At 35.4% G+C, this 17,661-nt stretch overlaps 1 protein-coding gene and 1 pseudogene across 5 annotated transcripts in view; both read left to right on the forward strand.

The window, feature by feature from the left end:
• Positions 1-17,661, forward strand: part of CHPT1 (choline phosphotransferase 1) — a 31,435-nt gene that overhangs the window by 12,064 nt on the left and 1,710 nt on the right. Inside the window, exons 2-8 of one of the 5 annotated variants that reach the window (XR_245946.3) lie at positions 4,387-4,534; positions 4,801-4,942; positions 7,025-7,109; positions 10,420-10,551; positions 13,465-13,623; positions 14,019-14,144; positions 16,591-16,794. Coding sequence is in view for 3 of the 5 variants with exons in the window: in NM_020244.3 (NP_064629.2) it covers positions 4,387-4,534; positions 4,801-4,942; positions 7,025-7,109; positions 10,420-10,551; positions 13,465-13,623; positions 14,019-14,144; positions 16,591-16,701 (903 nt within the window). In the remaining 2 variants the exon portion in view is untranslated. Of the gene's footprint in view, positions 1-4,386; positions 4,535-4,800; positions 4,943-5,180; positions 5,374-7,024; positions 7,110-10,419; positions 10,552-13,464; positions 13,624-14,018; positions 14,145-16,590; positions 16,795-17,661 lie in introns of those variants that run through there. The other 4 variants (NM_020244.3, XR_001748818.2, XM_011538574.2 and 1 more) reach the window with 4 other exon arrangements.
• On the forward strand, positions 10,105-10,215 carry RNY1P16 (RNY1 pseudogene 16; annotated as a pseudogene).

Below are 17,661 nucleotides of genomic sequence, written 5' to 3' on the forward strand. Positions count from 1 at the left end.
TTTAAAGGAAAGACTCTTGTGGCTGGCACCATTTCCTGTGGCTCACTGCTACTTGAAAGTGTATTGTGTGAGGGGGAAAGTGCTTATCAGCAGGTTTGATGGAATAGGGAGTTTGTGAAGATTTCAGGTGAAAAGTTCCATTCAGTCTGTGTGGCCTGTGGTAGGATAAATCTCATCGAAGGGCAAGTCGGAAGACCCGATCTAGTTCCTGGACCCAGCCTAAGTGCTTGCCTTGATGTAAATTATCACTCCTCCGTATGTTTCACTTTCATCTTTAATAAAAAGAATATGATAATAACTGCCCTATCTCTGTGGATTTCTGTATTAATTGAAATAATACATTAGAAATGCTGTTTATCAGCTGGGTGTGGTGGCTCACGCCTGTAATCCCAGCACTTTGGGAGGCTGAGGCAGGTGGATCATTTAAGGTCAGGAGTTGGAGACCGGCCTGGGCAACATGGCAAAACCCTGTCTCTACCAAAAATACAAAAATTTAGCTGGGTGTGGTGGCGTGCGCCTGTAATCTCAGCTACTTTGGGAGGTTGAGGGGGAGGATCACTTGGGCCTGGGAGGCGGATGTTGCAGTGAGCCAAGATCCTTTACTGCACTCCAGCCTGGGCGACAGAGCGAGACCCTGTCTCAAGAACAAAAAAAGGAAAGAAAAGAAGTGCCCTTTGTTGTACTGTTGAAGATCACATTACCTTTGCAATATTATCTCTTGTAAATTACCTGTTCCAGGAACATGGATCTAGTCACTGACTCCAGTAAACCTTTCACTTTCAGTCAGAAACTTTGGTTTCTGCCTAGACTTCCTCTCTTCTCTGTTTACATTCCCAGTCTCTCCCTATTTAAACGCCTCTAGTATCCTAATGAAGCACTTTTAAACTGGTGAACAGTCTTCATTTCCCTTTTCTAAATTAAGAGCGGGATATAATTTGGGGTAGAGTCACCACCAGTTGTGGTGTAAGGGTTAATCAAATTTATTTCAGTATGAATTTCTGTTAATACCTGACCATGAGACCTGCCTGTAGCTAGTTTCTCAGATCAGAGGTCAGAATTAAGCTTTCAATGTTGACTTTTAGAGTTCTCCTTGAGAAGATCCAGATTTTCAGTATAAAGAGTTACATAGAGAAATGGAAGATCCCTCTGACATTTTGTCATTACAGAAATTTTAATAACTTCAATGTCCAATTTTACATATGTTTGACGTGTAACTTTGCTTTCCTTCAATCATCAAAATTAAAAACAATTTTTCATAGTAGAAAAAATGGGTAAGAATTTGCTAGTTTGATATGGTCAACTAATTTTTGATAAGGGCCCCAAGAGGACACAATGGGGAAAGGATAGTCTCTTCAATAAATAATGCTGGGAAAATGATTTCCATAGGCCAAAAGAATGAAATTGGACCTTATATTACACTGTATACAAAAATAAACTCAAAATGGATAAAATACCTAAATATAAGAACAAAAACTGTAAAACTATACCCAAAGGAAATGAAATCATCGCCGTAAAAAGATACTTGCACTCCCATGATCATTGTAGCATTATTCACAATAGCCAAAATACAGAAACAGCCTAAGTGTCTGTTAACATATGAATGGATAAAGAAACTGTAGTATGCACAATGGAATATTACTGAGCCCTAAAGAACAAAATCTTGCCATTTACCACAACATGGATGAGCCTGGGAGACATTATGCTAAGTGAAATAAGCCAGACACAGAAAGAGAAATATGGTATGATCTTGATCTCGCGTATACACAGAATCTGAAAAAAAAATTCAGAGATAGAGAATGAAACTGGTTATCAGGAGCAGAGGGGCATAAAGGGGAGGAAATGGGAAGAGGCAGGTCAAAGGATACATTACAGCTTTGCAAGATGAGCAGGTCTAGAGATCTTATGTACAACCTGAGGGGTATAGGTTAAAAAAATTGAACTGTAAAATGAATAGATTTTAGCTGCTCTTGCCACAAAAACAAAAAAATGGGTAACTATGTGAGATGATGGATATGTTAATTTGCTTCAGTTTAGTACCGTTTCCATCTATCTACATATCCCATAACATCATGTTGTATACATAATAAAATTTATCTTTAAAAAAGAATTTACTAGTTTGAAAAGAATTTACTAGGTTAACAGAATTGTTCTCTGTAAGACACTTTGGGATTCTTTCAAAAGATTCTGGGTGGGATGTGTTGTTTTTCATTTTTGTACTGTCGTGATGACTGCTTAGTTTTGTTTGCCCTTTCTTAAATTGTTTCACAGTTTCCAAGATAAACTTTTAAGAACGTGCTCACTGGAACTGAATATGATATTTTATTTATTTTATTTTTCAAGACAGGGTCTCGCTCTGTCACCCAGGCTGGAGTACAGTGGCACTCACTGCTCACTGCACCCTCGACTTCCCCAGGCTTGGGTGATCCTCCCACCTCAGCCTCCTGAGTAGCTGGGACTACAAGTGTACACCGCCGCACCAGGCTAATTTTTATATCTTTTGTAGAGATGGGGTTCACCATGTTGCCCAGGCTGGTCTTGAACCCCTGGGCTTAAGCAATCTGCCCACCTTGGCCTCCCAAAGTGCTAGGATTATAGGTGTGAGCCGCCGAACCTGGACTGTGATTTTCTGCTTACTACTAGTTTTCATTGATTTAATTACGATGTGCCTTGATGGGTGTTTAAAAAATATTTATTCTGTTTGGGGTTTGTTGAGCTTCTTGGACATGTAGGTTTATAGATTTCATCAACTTTGGACATTTTTCATCATTTATTTCTTCTTATATTTTTCGTGCCCCATCCGCTCTTTTCTCTTTCTAAGACTCTAGTTACATATGTGCTAGACTGCTTTCTGTTGTCCCACCACTCGCCGATGCACAGTTCAATTATTTTTAGTCGTTTTTCTTTCGTCATTTTGGATAGTTTCCATTGGTACATGCTTATTGATCTTTTCTTCTGTGGTGTTTAATATGCTGTTAATCTCACCCAGTTTATTTTACAATTCAAATATTGTAATTTTCATTTCTGGAGATTTCACTTGAGTCTTTTCTTCCATTTCTGTTTATAATTTTCCTGTTTTCCTCTACTTTCTTGAACATGTGGAGCATATTTATAATAACTATTTTGATATCCTCATCTGCTAATTCTATTACTTCTGTTCATATTGATTCTGATTGTATTCTGATTATATGGATTTTACTTCTAGTTGTCAATTATATTCTCCTGCTTCTTTGCATGACTGGTAATTTTTTACTGAATGCCAAACCTTGTGAATTTTACCTTTGGGATACTAGATTTTTTTCCCCTAAGATGTACTTTATGATGGCTGTAGTTAAGTTGCCAGGAATTACTTGGATCCTTTTGAGGCTGGATTTTAAGTTTTGTTAGGGCTGTCCAGAGAAGCCTTCAGTCTAGGGTTAATTTATGCCTGCTGGTAAGGCAGTACACTTCTGAGAACTTTACCCAATGCCCCAAGTATTAATGAGGCTTTCTGCTTTGCCTGGTGGGAACATGAATGTCCCAGCCATGTATGAGCTTTGAGAATTGTCTGACCTTCAACATTGCAGTGCTTCTCTCCCTGGCCTTTGTTAGTTTCATCTCATTCAGGCACAGATGAGTTCTCAGCCGAAGACGGAAAGATACCCTTCCGTAAGACGTCCACAACTTATGCTCCTCTCTCTGTGCAGCTCTGTCCTCTCAGGCACTCTGCCTCACAAATCCTAATTGCCTTGACCTTCCTGAACTTTGTGTTTCTCTTAAACACAGCATGATTGCTGGACTCTGTTCTGGTCATGGGACCTGCACTGTGGCCTGGAAACTGACTCTGGGAAGTTAGCTGGAGCAGTCGCAGGGCTCATCTCATTTGTTTCCCTTCTGTGAGGGATCACAAGCCTGCACTGCCTGTAATGTTTGAAAACTGTTTTTTGTTTTTTGTTTTTTTAAAAATATATTTTATTGCCTTTCTAGTTATATAAGGTGGGAGAGCAAATCTAGTCCCTGATACTCCATTGTGAATGGAAGCAGAGGTTGGCAGTTGGCCCCTAAGGTCTTTTTTCACAGCAAAAATTTAACTGAGTAATTTCAAATCTGTGGCATAATGCATAGTATTATATTAAAAGAGCCATGGATGTAAGAATCAAGATCAGGATCCTAATCCTTACTCAGTTGTTTAACTTTGTGTTTCTTACATTGTGGACTTCTGTGACCCTCTACCTAGATGACTTAAAGCAGTTAATTTGATTTCTCAATTTAATTCGCATCTGTAGAATGAGGGTTAGAAATGTTCTTTATAACACACGGGGTGCTACAAAGTGTGAAGCCTTAGGTTGAGCTATTTTCAGAAAGCTTATTATCACTTAACAATCTTTATTTTATTTACATTTTTTATAGGCACCATACTGGACATACCTTTTATGTGCACTGGGACTTTTTATTTACCAGTCACTGGATGCTATTGATGGGAAACAAGCCAGAAGAACAAACTCTTGTTCCCCTTTAGGGGAGCTCTTTGACCATGGCTGTGACTCTCTTTCCACAGGTAAATTAGTGGAGTTTTTTATTTTTTTATGATACCTTAAAAATAAAATGAACTGAGCTGTTTGGTCAGTTTTTTGGATGGATATACATTTGGGAGCAAATGTATGGAGTTGTTTAAAAAGTATGTCAAGAATTCATTTTGATAAGTGTACTTTATTTTAATGCCATGATTATTTCCTTAGAGCTCTGTATTTCTAAACAGCATAGGGCAATTATTTCATAAATTATTTTTAATTCTTAATGATTCTTAAACTTTGTTTCTTTCAGTATTTATGGCAGTGGGAGCTTCAATTGCCGCTCGCTTAGGAACTTATCCTGACTGGTTTTTTTTCTGCTCTTTTATTGGGATGTTTGTGTTTTATTGCGCTCATTGGCAGACTTATGTTTCAGGCATGTTGAGATTTGGAAAGTAAGTATGCTTTTTAAGTTGTACATTAAAAAATATAATTGAATTCATTTGCACAATCTGTTATGTCATTCATCGATAATAAGGAGAACAAATCTTCAATCAGTAACTTAAATTAATTCGTCGGAGTACTCATAAATGCTACACCTTAAGTCTTTTAGGTACTCTGCATGTTATAAATAGTTACATTATTTGATAATAATTTTATTTTTCTTCTCCTCTTCTCCAACTTAATCATTAGCCCAAGTTTACAATAGAGAGGATTAAAAGAAAATTAAGGGACCTGAATAATATAGAAAAGGGATATGCAGTACTTAAATAAGCATTTGATTCATATAATAAAATAATGCAGTGTGGAGTCTAAGGTCCTTTTTTGGTCGAATCTTCATGTGCACAGAAAGGGGACCCGCCTTGACAACAGTCACCAGCATCAGGTAATTGTGAGACTCTCAACTGTGGTAGGCAATTGGTGAGATAATGTAAAAGCACCTTGTAAATGCTAGTGCTAAACATTAGATAGTATTATCTGCCTCTGTTGCCTCTTTCTTAGAGACCAGGAAATAGTGCACAAAGCAGGAATACTATTCTCTGTTCCTCTTTTTCATATAGTTCCCTCTCGGTCTGATCCTTTTAAGAACTTTGTCATTTGCTCATTTTGGCTTTGGCTTCCCATGCCTACTGATTCTTTTTAGCCCCACTTTATTGCTGAAAAGGAGAAACAGTAGCTCTGAAAAAACTCTCTAATGATAAATGATAGGAGAAGCTTAAAACTATGGATCATTTAGCAGAGGGCAGGCTTCAGGCAGTTGATTCTCAATTATGGAATAATTGTATTTACCACCTATCGAGCACTTACATGTTTCAGGCATTGTACTAAGAGCTTCACAGGCATTATCTTATTTATTCCTTACATTTATCCCGTAAGGTGGGTATTACCTCCATCTAAAGACATTGGGGCATCCAGGCAGAGATGTAAAGTATGTAGACAGATATAAAAATCTACAGCTCAGGAAAAAATGTAGATTGGAGATAAGGATTTAGAAGTCATTAGCATATAGATGGTAGTTTTAAGTATAGATAAAATTGTTCATAGACTATAAGAATTCCAGATGGAATTCTGAAAGCATCATTTAAGATATGAATGAAGAGGCAGTCTAGGAAGGAGCGTGAGAAGAGCTCCAGCAAGGTAGGAAAATCAGGAGAGAACATGGAATAGATAAAAACACAGCAGAGCTTTTCAAGAAAGAGGGTATGATCAGCATCTTAAATATTGTAAAGAAGTTATGCAAGATAATTAATGAAATGTATCCCTTAGATTTGTATCCTTTAATTGGAATTGAAAATTGAAGGTCAATTTACCTTAAACAATTTTAGTAGAATAATGGGGCCAAAAGCCAGACTAGAGTGTGTTAAGCAACAAACGTGAAGAGAGGAGAAAATTACAAATGTTGACTAATTTTCAGTGAGCCTATTCGTGGAGCATAGGAGAGAGAGTGACAGCTTCAGGGGAATGCAGACTAGAGGGACTGATGCTGATTGGTTAGTGGTTTTTTGAGAAATTTAAGCATATTTACTAGGGGAAAAATGTCTATGGAAACTAAAAAAACTACAGTGACTATTAGTACCTCAATAAAGAAGACTATTGGAATTTTCCCTGCTTTTTAAGTGAAATTGACCTGGGAGTATTTAAATTTGCCTTAAATCATATGGTTGTTTTTATTATAATTTTTCCTTATGTACACAAGTAGTGGGTAATTATTGTGAAAAAACTTCAGACTTTACAGGAGTTCATAAATTAGAAAATAAAAGTCTTTATAACATCAGTGATAACTATTAGCAATTTGATATATGGTATATATTTTTTTCCCTCTGCATATACCGTTACCTATGTGTGAGCACATGTTGTTCTGTAACTTTTTTAACTTAACAGTGTAGTCAACTGATAATTCAATAATGGAAGTAAAGGTAAAAATAAACTAAGCCTACAGAGATTTTTACATCTTTGCTATTTAATATGTGATGAACCTCCATATTCAGGAATTTTATTTACAAACACCTTATCTATTCTTTGTCCTTCCTCTTTAGAGTGGATGTAACTGAAATTCAGATAGCTTTAGTGATTGTCTTTGTGTTGTCTGCATTTGGAGGAGCAACAATGTGGGACTATACGGTAAATCTGAATATTTAAATTTATATTTAAGTACTTTTCAAATATTTAGGAAAAAGTATTGCATTGTTAATTTTCTTCAAAAATCCTTGGCATTGTATTTAATTTTTTTTTTTTAATTGGTGTATTTAATATTTGTTCCATTTCTTAACATTTTTTTCTTCATTTTATAATGTGTATTATCCTATATACCTTATGGCATTTCCTCCTATGCTTGAGTATATTGCCACATAGAAGAAGACAACCTCATTTCCCTAATACTAAATAAAACAAAAACAACAACAAAAAACACACATTGGAATAACTTTTTCCAGGGTGAAATAAAATAAATATTTTAAAAATAAATCCAGTAAAATGTTTTACATTTAAAACTTGTCACTCAATATTAGGAAAGTAGTTAATTTGCATTTTTATAATCTACTTTGAGGTGAAGATTCCCATATTAAGGAATGTTTTTATTTTCTGCCTGCTTGGTGACCTCAGTAGTTTCATAAAAGTTGGCTCTTAGGAGGCCACTGTCATAAATTCAAGCTTTTTTGCAAAAGAAGAACATTTCTGAAGAAACAGTTGTCCTGTTACCACAACGTAAGTCCACCATACTGGCTAACTGACTCACACTTTCTGCTCATAGTGTTAAGAATAATAATAATAAGGATATCAATAGTCAACAACTAACAGTCATTCAATACTTATGTTCCTAAACATTCACCATCTGCCCCTCAGTTTTATCTGCCCCTCAGAACAATCCTATAAAATAGATATTATTAGTATTATGCTTTATAAATAAGTCTTAGGGTGATTAAGTAATTTGTCCAAGGACACATGAGAAGTGCTGGAGCTAGGAATTAAACAGACTGATTCCAGACTGTATGTAATCACTAAGCTATATATCTAGTAAAAATAGTAAGTGATACAAAACTAAACATAGTTTTGTGGTAAACATGATCAGCAGTCACACTCCTTGTTATTTACCTAAATGATTTGAAAACTTATGTCCACACAAAAACCTGTACACAAATGTTTACAGCAGCTTTATTCATAATTGCCAAAATTTGAAAGCAACTAAGATGTCCTTCATCTTAGCTGGATAAACTAATGCTAAAAAGAAATGAGCTATCAAGCCATGAAAAGAAGTTATGCGAGGAACTTATGGAGTTCCAAGAAGTTATGGAGGAACCTTAAATGTTTGTTACTAAGAGAAAGAAGCCAATCTGAAAAGTCTGCATATTGTGTGATTCCAACTATATGACATTCTTTAAAAAGGCAAAATTATGGAGACAGTAAAAGGATCAGAAGTTACCATGGGTTGGAGGAAGAAGGGATGAATAGGTGAAGCACAGAGAATTTTTAGGGCAGTAAAACTATTTTGTATGATACTAAATGGTGGCTACATGTCATTATACATTCGTCATAGCACACAGAATGTGTAACACCAAGATTGAACTCTAATGTAAACTATGAACTTTGGGTGATAATGACGTGTCAATGTAGGTTCACCAGTTGTAACAAACGTACCACGCTGGTGTAGGATGTTGTTGGCAGAGGGAGGGGTGGCTATATACTTTTCCACTCAAATTTTGTTGCAAACCTAAAACCACTCTAAAAAATTAAGTCCATTAAAAACACAGTATGAGGCCAGGAGTTCAAGACCAGCCTGGGTAACTTAGCAAGACCTTGCCTCTACAAAAATTCTGTAAAACTTTAGCCAGGCATGGTGGCATGCACCTGTAGTCCCAGCTACTCAGGAGGCTGAGGCAGGAGGGTCAACTGAACCCAGGAGTTCAAGGCTGCAATGAGCCATTATCATGCCACTGACTACACTCCTGCCTGAGTGACACAGCAAGACCCCATCTTTAAAAAAAAAAAAAAAAAAGATTTCCCTGTAGCATTTAGTATCAGAATTGCCAATTATCATTTGTCAGTAGGCTCCGAAATAGACTTTGGGCATGTTTTTAAGTAGTAGTGATAGATTCTTCAATACATTCATATTCCCTCTCATCATGTAAGAGTAAATAGAATCAAGGATATGCTACTATAGGCCCATACAAGATAACAGAGGGATGCTATGCGTTTTTTGTAGTAACTGTTCAGGTTGTGCCCGTAAGAAGGTAAATGTACGGGCAGATCACCTGAGGTCAAGAGTTAAAGACCAGCCTGGCCAACATGGCAAAACCCTGTCTCTGCTAAAAATACACAAATTAGCCGGGTGTGGTGATGGGCACCTGTAATCCCAGCTACTCGGGAGGCTGAGGCAGGAGAATCACTTGAACCTGGGAGGCAGAGGTTGCAGTGAGCCAAGATTGGGCCACTGCACTCCAGCCCTGGGCGACAAGAGACTCGTCTCAAGAAAAAAAAAAAAAAAAAAAAAGAAGGTAAATGTAGACCTAGAAGCAGTTAGACAACTCTAGTTATTAAGTCAGGTGTGGTTGTCTTAAATTTGGAATTGAATCTTAAAATTGTTTCACTCAATGTTTTGGCAATATCGTAGGAAGAAAACATACCTGCTTATTCTTACCAACAAGAATGCTTACTTTTGATTCAGGTTTTCTAAATTTAATTATTAACCTGTAGTTTCCACAAATTTTGGTACATTATTTCAGTCTATTTTCTAAACATAGTAGCCTCTAGCTTCTGGCAATTCATTGTTACTGTTTTTTAAATCCTTTGCTGCCTTTGGAAGTTTTCTTGAACAGCAGTTGACCAACAGGTAAATATATTGCTAGAGATTTAATCCTGGATATTAACTACACAGATGTTTTGCTTGCATACACATCATGATATTTGTTACATTTATGATGCAAATCATGGTGTCTCCCTTTCCTGTGATGCTACTTTTTAGAAGCTACTAAATTCAAATGAACTATCCTTTTTCATGTTTAAGTCAGATGAAATCTTATGAGATTAAACATTTAGTCATAGTTATATAAACAGACTAAGCTGGTTTGGTGGATTCATCTTTCACTTATGAAGAAAGCAGTTTCAAAAAAAAGTCACTTTAGGCTGGTCCAATGGTAGTCAGTTATCTCAATTGATTGCTCACAGTCAGTTACAGGTCAAACTCCTTGTTCTTCTCTTTTCCCCCCTCACTACTGTACTTGGCTAGTCTACAAAAAATAATAAAAATTTAAAAACTAAAAAAAAAAGTTAAAAAAAAGTTTTTAAGTTATCACTTTGGATTATATTCCAGAAGTTAAGGTTTGATCACAAGAAAAAGGATAGCTTATTGTACAGGGCTTATCATTATGTTTCTTTATTATTTAATAAAAAACCAAAATTCTGTTGTCTTAATTGTTTCTTTCTTCTACCCCTAAAGATTCCTATTCTAGAAATAAAATTGAAGATCCTTCCAGTTCTTGGATTTCTAGGTGGAGTAATATTTTCCTGTTCAAATTATTTCCATGTTATCCTCCATGGTGGTGTTGGCAAGAATGGATCCACTATAGCAGTAAGGCAATAATTTCATCATTCAGTGTCAATTTTATGATACATTTTCTTATCACCAGTTATAAAAAGATTAAAATATGCCAAAGTTCAAGAATGGGGAAGGAAACTAAGTATCTTAAAGAATTCATTTTAGGCACATAGTACAAAAGCATTTTAAAAACAGTTTAAACTGATATTTTCCTCTTTCTACAAGCTTGCTCTGCATAGACTTTTCTGACATCTAGTTTCATTACTGCACATAATTAAGAGTTGCCATTTGTTTTCCTGCATTTTGTGCCTTGAACTAATAGCAGAGAGGAGAAAGGGTAGGGAATGTATGAGTTCCTGATTGAAAGCAGGAAAGTGGCCAGAGGTCAATGGTTTCACATATGGGGGGATTTATTACTCATCAAGTAAATTTTATTGAAATTTCACTGAAATATATTTAAAAGAACTATTCTAATATTTCAAAAGGTAAAATTTTAACTTTAATTCTTAAGTGGGTATACTTTGTGCTTGTGTTCTTTACACCTTGCTCATGCAAGTATTAAATATAATGCTTTTGTATTTTTTCACATTTGTTTTTTAAAACTTCAGTACTTTTAAGTGGGCAAGAGTTGGGATTCCTGCAAACTTTTTAAACAAATATAACACCTATGTTTTTAAAAAGCCTATTGTCATTTTCAAGGTAGTTGAACAGAAGAAGACAAGTACTTATTCCAGTGATACCATCTTATACCAAACCATTGTTATAATGCCTTTTTCAGGGCCGGGCACAGTGGCTCATGCTTGTAATCCTAGCAATTTTGGAGGCCGAGGCAGGTGGATCACTTGAGGTCAAGAGTTCGAGACCAGCCTGGCCAACATGGTGAAACCCTGTCGCTACCAAAAATACAAAAAAATTAGCTGGGCATGGTGGCCATGCTTTTGTAAATCCAGCTAGCTACTTGGGAGGCTGAGGCAGGACAATTGCTTGAACCAGGAGGCGGCGGTTGCAGTAAGCTGAGACGGTGCCACTGCACTCCAGCCTGGGTGACAGAGCGAGACTCTGTTTCAAAAAAAAAAAGAATGCCTTTTTAGGATTGCTTTAAACTATAGCATATTCACTTTAATTTCTTTTGTTGTATAGTTCAAAATTTCTATCCTTTAAAGTCATTTGGAGCAAGGTCTAATAAGATATTAAACATTAGATATAGCATTTTTAGTAAAAAAAAGTCTCATTCTTTTAAAAGACGTGTAAGTAGACTTTCGAGACAATTTCAAAGGGATCCTCATAATTGACAAATTGTCAATATTTATGAATACACTTTATATACATAATTCAAAAGCAAAGTATACAATTCATCTAGAAATATAAGTTCTGATATATTTGGAAAAGTTGTCATTTTTTGAGGTGTTTTGTCAGTTGATCTCAGTATAGTACTGTGCTTAGGAATACATGTTGCTTGACTGTGGATGATAACATAGAACAATAGTTGGAACGTTAAGTTCCATTGAAGAAAACAAGATGTAGTAATGATCATTGTCTACTCTAAAGAATATTTTTGACCAGATGCGGTGGCTCACGCTTGTAATCCCAGCACTTTGGGAGGCCGAGGCGGGCAGATCATTAGGTCAGGAGTTCAAGACCAGTCTGGCCAACACAATGAAACCCTGTCTCTACTAAAAATACAAAAATTAGCTGGGCTTAGTGGCGGGCACCTGTAATCCCAGCTACTCAGGAGGCTGAGGCAGGAAAATCGATTGAACCTGGGAGGCGGAGGTTGCAGTAAGGCAAGATCATGCCACTGCACTTAAGCCTGGGTGACAGAGCTAGATTCCATCTCAAAAAAAAAAAAGAATATTTTCATTAAAAAAACTGTTAGATGTTTGAAGGATGACTTAAACACAAGTTAGGAAGTGGTTGGTTTCAAACTCTTAAACTGGTATTTTTCCAACTTTTTTAGGAGCAGATTTTTTTTCTTGAATGAGATTTAAGAATCATAATATAAAGCACTATTAGATTTTTATAATTTATTACTATACAGTGTCATGTATATAATTTTATAATATGGTATTACTGTAATTTTATAGTAAGTTCTAACTTAAAACATGTAAACTTAATAAACAAGAGTAAAGCTGTTCTTGTGAACCCATTTAAATTGGTTATAGATTTAATAACCTCAATACCAAATTTATTTCAATATTTTATTTAGGATAAGCAGTGCCGAGAGGATACTAATTCACATAGATAAAAATGTAATGGTCTGGATTTTACAATTTTACATAAAAGAACATTTGCAGTCTGAATGCAAAAAGAAAGGAGGTGGGGATGTTGGTGTAGAAAGAAACTAGGATAAGCTGGGTGTGGTGGCTCTCGCCTGTAATCCCAGCACTTTGAGAAGCTGAGGCTGGGAGGATCGCTTGAGCCCGGGAGTTTGAGACTGGCCTGGGCAACATGGGGAAACCCTGTCTCTACTAAAAACACAAAAAATTAAAAAAAAAAAAAAAAAAAGAAAATAGGAAAAAAGAAGGAAACCTGAATAGAACTAAACTATTCTTACTCTTCTTCATCAGTGATATTTTGTAGAATTGGCAGAATAAGCTCTATTTCAGTATCTCCACAAAATTATGTTAATTTGGCAATCCACATGTGGACTGCCTTCGATGTAGTAAAAGTTGATATAGAATAAACTGCATTAATTTTTAGCCAGTTTAAAACGTGTGTGAATATCAAACTGGAATCAGACATCTGTGGCACTGTATTATGTCTCTGTCACCCTCAGGTTCTATGAAACCTTGGAAAGCACAACTCAGGTTTGTATACTCCTGTAGGCCATACACTACATCACACTGTTCTTTAGGCCTCTTGCACAAAATAGATGGTCAGAAAATGTCTACATTGTAATAAATGCAGTGTTAAAATGTGATACTGATTTTCTGCTTTATCCCTTAGGGCACCAGTGTCTTGTCACCTGGACTCCACATAGGACTAATTATTATACTGGCAATAATGATCTATAAAAAGTCAGCAACTGATGTGTTTGAAAAGCATCCTTGTCTTTATATCCTAATGTTTGGATGTGTCTTTGCTAAAGTCTCACAAAAATTAGTGGTAAGAAATTTTTATTATTCATGATATAAATAATATACTTAGTCGTCAAACACAAAGCTGGAAATTATTTCATAAAATGTATAGGTTTTCTTTTGTAGTGTAAAATCATAATAATTAGCTATTTGTGCTCCAAGCAAAACTGTGATAAGAGTTATATTCAGTTAAATTGTTTAGCTGTAGTTATCATTTACAACTTTCTGATATCAAGAAATTTAAACACTGGAAACTTTAATAAGCTACCCAGTTGTGAATTTGAGAAGGTGTAGAAAAGTATTCTTAAATGTGAGATTAAATGGTCTGTTTTAATACTGAATTAAAGTTATAATTAATTCTGTCGTAAAAGCTAACACATTTAAAACTTAATAGTAAAATTATTTTGTTTAATTTTTTTATAGGTAGCTCACATGACCAAAAGTGAACTATATCTTCAAGACACTGTCTTTTTGGGGCCAGGTCTTTTGTTTTTAGACCAGTACTTTAATAACTTTATAGACGAATATGTTGTTCTATGGATGGCAATGGTAAGTATTTTTCTCCATTTTATTTATTTTTTAACAATGCTTAAGAGCTATTTCAGTGAGCTATCAGTAGCCTCAAGATCTAGTCTAGGCCAGGCGTGGTGACTCACGCCTGTAATCCCAGCACTTTGGGAGGCCAAGGTGGACGGATCATTTGAGGTCAAGAGTTTGAGACCAACCTGGCCAACATGGTAAAACTCTGTCTGTACCAAAAAATACAAAAAATTAGCCAGGCGTGGTGGTGCATCCCTGTAATCCCAGCTACTCAGGAGGCTGAGGCAGGCAAATCACTTGAACCTGGGAGGCAGAGGTTGCGGTGAGCCGAGATCATGCCACTGCACTCCAGCCTGGGTGACACAGCGAGACTGTGTCTCAAAAAAAAAAAAAAAAGATCTAGTCTATACAATATATACAATAAATGTTTCTGAGTATTTAAAATTACTTCTTCTAAGCTGTGAATAATATTATATTGTGTGTAGAAATGGCCACATATCTATAGGCCAGGTTTCCAACAACCTGGATTCTTGGAAACACAACTGTGTACCTAAAAATAGCTATATTTTTCTCCCCCAAAATACCAGTACAAAGATGCCAAAAACCACTTTACTCTGCCCAAAGACTTTATTCCCAGTTTACAGCAAGTAACAGGAAAATTAGATGGGGTTAGTACTAGCAAAGGTGGGCACTTTATTGCATCGAGAATTGTCAGCTAATATTGAGGAAACAAAACAGAATAGACAGTGCTACTAAATACAGGATTCTCAGACCATTTTATGCTAGATGTAAGGAACCCTTTTTATGTGTATGGCCCTTGAGGATAGTGTATAATTTGTATTAATGATGACTCAGTCATCAATTAAATTAAATTCGCTTTGATTATATCCTGCTTAAGGAAACGACGTGGATGACATAATTTCTATTCAAAATGATTATAAAATACAGAATATAGTGCTTGAGAGAGACACGTTAGCCATCTAAGGAAAAGAAAATCAATATTGGTAACACTTCAATTACAAAGTTGGATAAATGGAGCATTATTACATTTTTTTTCTATTGAGACATATCTTTATGGTTGGTCTCCAATTAATGGTGGCTTTGAATAGTTTTCTTGTATTTCTATCTCTGGACCCACTGGTTGTCACCAAATTCATAGTGATATATAAATATACCGAAGTACACCAAAACAAAACCCCCCAAAACCCTGCAGTGAATCTTTTGATAATTCAAATAATCTCACCGTATTTGTTAGAGTTGGATATTTAAAAAAATCTGTATCTATTCTGTGCATGGATTACAGGAGTACATCTAATGGTCCCTTACTAGGTTGTGTAGTATGCTTTTTCTGGAGTAACTTAATAACGTAATATTCATTCATAGTCCATTCAGAAGTCTTCATTCTTCCTATGGTGGCAGTGAGATATACTTAATTCTTTGAGGTGGACAATGAACGTTTTCAGGCAAAATTAAAAAAAAAAATGTTTAAAAATCAGAATAATGTCCTTTAATTTGGTATCCACTATAAATATTTTTAGGGCTCCCAAACAATCCAGTTTAAAAAATAGGGGATAATTAATCAAAATATCTAAAAACTCAATGTAAGTTTTCTTTTAGTGAACTTAGGTATGTATTACCAAGTGGAATTGCTGAATTAAAATACCAGGTGTTAAAAAAATCAATCATCTGTCGTAACGAGTAATTGGCCTGGTTTACACCTGTGATGGAGACTGGTAAACTGAGGAAGTCAAATTCAATTTTTATTTAAAACACTATGTGGATGACAAAAAAAAAAAAAAAAAGCCACACACACAATGTGGTACTTTTCAAGTAAGCTTTTAACATAAATGATAGAGATTTTCCCCTCATGGGTGAGAATTCCCTCTCCAAGGGCAGAGCTATGAGTCTCCTTTTTCTCCTGGGTTTCATTTTCTGAAGAGAAGCATTTGACTGTAGACTCTGGGCAAAGTTTCTAAATAGAGGCCATCTTTAAATTTGTAAACACAATTCTGTATATGCTTCAAGTATGGTATCTTTTCTAGACCTTTTACCTTCTTACAACTAACCTCAAAGAAACAGAAATGTATATGATGGAATTAATTCATTATAAGATGACTGATAACTTCTTCTAGAAGGAAATTTGCAGCTTCGTGGCACAGCAGGAAGTTGAAACAATGTGGAGTCAGGAGAGTTGGGTTCTGTTACTTTCTAGTTTCTGTATTTTAGTCGTCTTTTTTACCTCTGAGCCTCAGTGTCTATAACTGTGAAATAACCTGCATTTTCCAGAGGACTACAGTGAGGTCCAAATTTGAAATGTATTAAAGTGCTTTAAAATGTAGTATTTTTGGTGAAGAATTTTAGGTTAAGGTTTGATATTTGGGGGAGAAACAGAATAGTGCTACTTGAGAAAAGATAGATCATAATCGATTTTATATTTTCTTTTTTGCTTCTAAAGGTGATTTCTTCATTTGATATGGTGATATACTTTAGTGCTTTGTGCCTGCAAATTTCAAGACACCTTCATCTAAATATATTCAAGACTGCATGTCATCAAGCACCTGAACAGGTTCACAAGCATATTGACTGACTAATAGCCCAAGGAAAAGAGGAGATGAAGTTAGGGGAATCTATGAGTGAAGGAAATCCCCCTGTGCAGGAGGCTAGTATACCATCAATAAGGTTATATTTGAATATAAAACATAAACCCTGTAGATTTCATTGTGTCTTATTTCAGTTATGAAGCCCCCATTGTATCATCATTTTTTATCACAGATGTTCTCAGAATTGTCTACATATTAATTAGAAACAAGACTAAAGAAATGTCAATCCTGAGGACAACAGTGAACCCCTGTAATTCTAAGTAGCAGTTTGTCTCTGAGACTTATCAGACACAGGGTTTTCACTGCCAAAGGATTACATAAATATTCAGAACATAAAGGATTTTAGCCATCTTGAGGGTGCTTACTTTGACTGCTAAAAACTGAAAAGTGATTCAATACTGCTTAAGTGCATGGCTTATAATGTAATTATTGAATCAAGTTATGTTCTAAGAAATTTTTTATACTAATCATTTTTCAAGAGGCATATTAGTATGTTATAAAATACTTGCTTTTAGTATACTAGAATTTAAAAGGGCTACAGGAATTTTTTAAATAAAATTTGTATTTAATAAAAGGAATTTGTTGTACCAGTTCAGAAAAACATACGAATCTTTATACTGAAGGTAACTTGTTCCTTGATATTTTGAGTTAAAATTTCACTGTCACTGAAAAGTGGATGTTAAATATTCCCTTTCATGAAAAATGAAAACAGTAGCTAAGAGTCAGTTGACATGTAAGAAAATTAGTAACTTAGAAAAACTTACTTGGTAAAAAAAATCTTCCTTTTAGAATACAAAAGTTTACTTTAAGTACACACTGACTCATTTGAGGTGATAAGGGATAAAATAAGTAAAAGTTATTCAACCACTAAGTACATTAGGTACTGATACTTATCTTTCCACTCTAATTGAAATGTATTTAGATTA

Source organism: Homo sapiens, chromosome 12 (assembly GCF_000001405.40).
Source record: "Homo sapiens chromosome 12, GRCh38.p14 Primary Assembly".
Taxonomy (NCBI): domain Eukaryota; kingdom Metazoa; phylum Chordata; class Mammalia; order Primates; family Hominidae; genus Homo; species Homo sapiens.